This window comes from Homo sapiens, chromosome 20, assembly GCF_000001405.40.
Source record: "Homo sapiens chromosome 20, GRCh38.p14 Primary Assembly".
NCBI classification, from domain to species: Eukaryota; Metazoa; Chordata; class Mammalia; order Primates; family Hominidae; genus Homo; species Homo sapiens.
Genome location: NC_000020.11, coordinates 23,095,928 through 23,097,588, shown reverse-complemented (window position 1 = coordinate 23,097,588; position 1,661 = coordinate 23,095,928). Strand labels below are relative to the sequence as shown.

Sequence of the window (1,661 nt, the reverse complement as noted above, 5' to 3'; positions counted from 1 at the left end):
TTGTGCAGTTTCCTAATACTACTGTGGTTCTGTAGCCCCTCCAACCTGCCCATCACTTGAGACTGAGTTGAATGGAAATGTGTTTTATAATCTTCTGTGCAATAAATTGGTTTTGCAGTGTGGCAACCCAACTCGTGAAAGTGCTTATCATTTTCAATTATAATTTTTTAGCTCAGAGATAAATTATTAAAGCACAGCAAAATTGTTCCTGAAGATAACATGCTCACATGGTAATTACTCAGGTAAAATGCTGGTAGTCCCCGGGCATTCTGGCTTTGCCTTTCTTAGGAAACCATGCAGAACTATCTCTGTATGACGCAGCAGTGTCACGTTTTATCCTGAGTAGGCAAAAGATGCAGCCTGCTCCCATTGTGGGTCTGAAACAGCTTCTGCAAGTTGGAGCCTGAAGTGACCCAGTATCTCACCCTGCATTTGCCGCCCACTTTGTTCCCACGGGAAACAGGAAGGTGAGGGTGCCAGTGCATGGGTGTAGATGCCAGGTTTCCCGACTGCTCCAGCGTGTCTGCCTTGCCCTGGCCATGCCATCTACTGCTGCTCGCTTCATTGGACCCCAACGTACGGTGCTAGCTGTTGGAGTATGAACAACCAGAAAAATAAAGGCCAGTCTTCCCCAGGTATGGTTGTCAGCTGTTCTGAGCCACCACCTGGAATATCTGCAGGTGGAAGTAGCCACTGAGCTGCTTCCCTCAGTGTCAGTGCCCGCGAAGGAAGGCTACTCTTTCACCAGAAACAGTTCAGCTAGAAGACTCTTCTGTCTTCCAATATGAGTGGGTGGGAGTGTGGGAGAGCAGAATTTGGCCCTAGAACTGTTGTGTAGATATGAATCTGATTCAGCAAACAGACCAAAGCTCTGCAGGCCTGAGAGGGGCTTCAGGGCCTCTGGGTCAGCTCTTGTGTCAAAGAATGAAATTTTTAGGACTCAGAAGTCTGGAGAAAATGCTTTTGGCTGCAAGTAACAACCAAAGTATAACTGCTCAAACAATTAAGAATGAGAATAATTTCATATAAGAAGTCTCAGGTGGGATCATTTCAGGTTTGGTGAATCCCACAGTTCCAGGAGGCTTTTGGGGACCCGAGCTCCTGCCCTCTTTTTGCCACCTTTCTGAGCCAGCTTGTCCTGACCACAGCAGCTTTGCACACCAGCCCTCAGAAGATCACTCAGAGGACAGGCTGGCCATTTCTCCAGTCTCTGTTTAAGAGCAAGGGGGACTTTCCCAGAAGCATATGGAACTTTCCCTTATGCCACATGGGCCAGTCTGTGTCCCTCCTGAGCCAGGTCCCTCCTGAGCCAGGTGTCAGCTGGGGACAGAAATGTCATCATTGCTCAGATCTGTCAGGGTTGTCCCCTGAATAGGGGAGTCTCCCAGCACGTCCCAACGCTTACTAGCATCAGGTGCACAGTGGAGCTGGTCTTAAGAAGAATAAGGGAGAGTAACAGTTGTAGAGTCTTCAAGAATTCATAAGATGTTACAATTAGAAGGACCCTCCCTGCTTTATAAAGAGGAGAGATGTCCAATATTTTGGCTTCCCTGGGTCACACTGGAAGAAGAATTATCTTGGGCCACACATAAAATACACTAACACTAACGATAGTGATGAGCTAAAAAAAAATCACCAAAAAAATCTCATAGTGTTTTGAG

General features: G+C 47.0%; 1 annotated feature.

Annotated features, from left to right (window-relative positions):
* Positions 1,301–1,450: an enhancer, noted in NCBI's record as "active region_17629". NCBI's record gives its function as "activates an Ori minimal core promoter by ATAC-STARR-seq in GM12878 lymphoblastoid cells {active_cell/tissue: GM12878}" and the evidence as "EXISTENCE:reporter gene assay evidence [ECO:0000049][PMID:35858748]".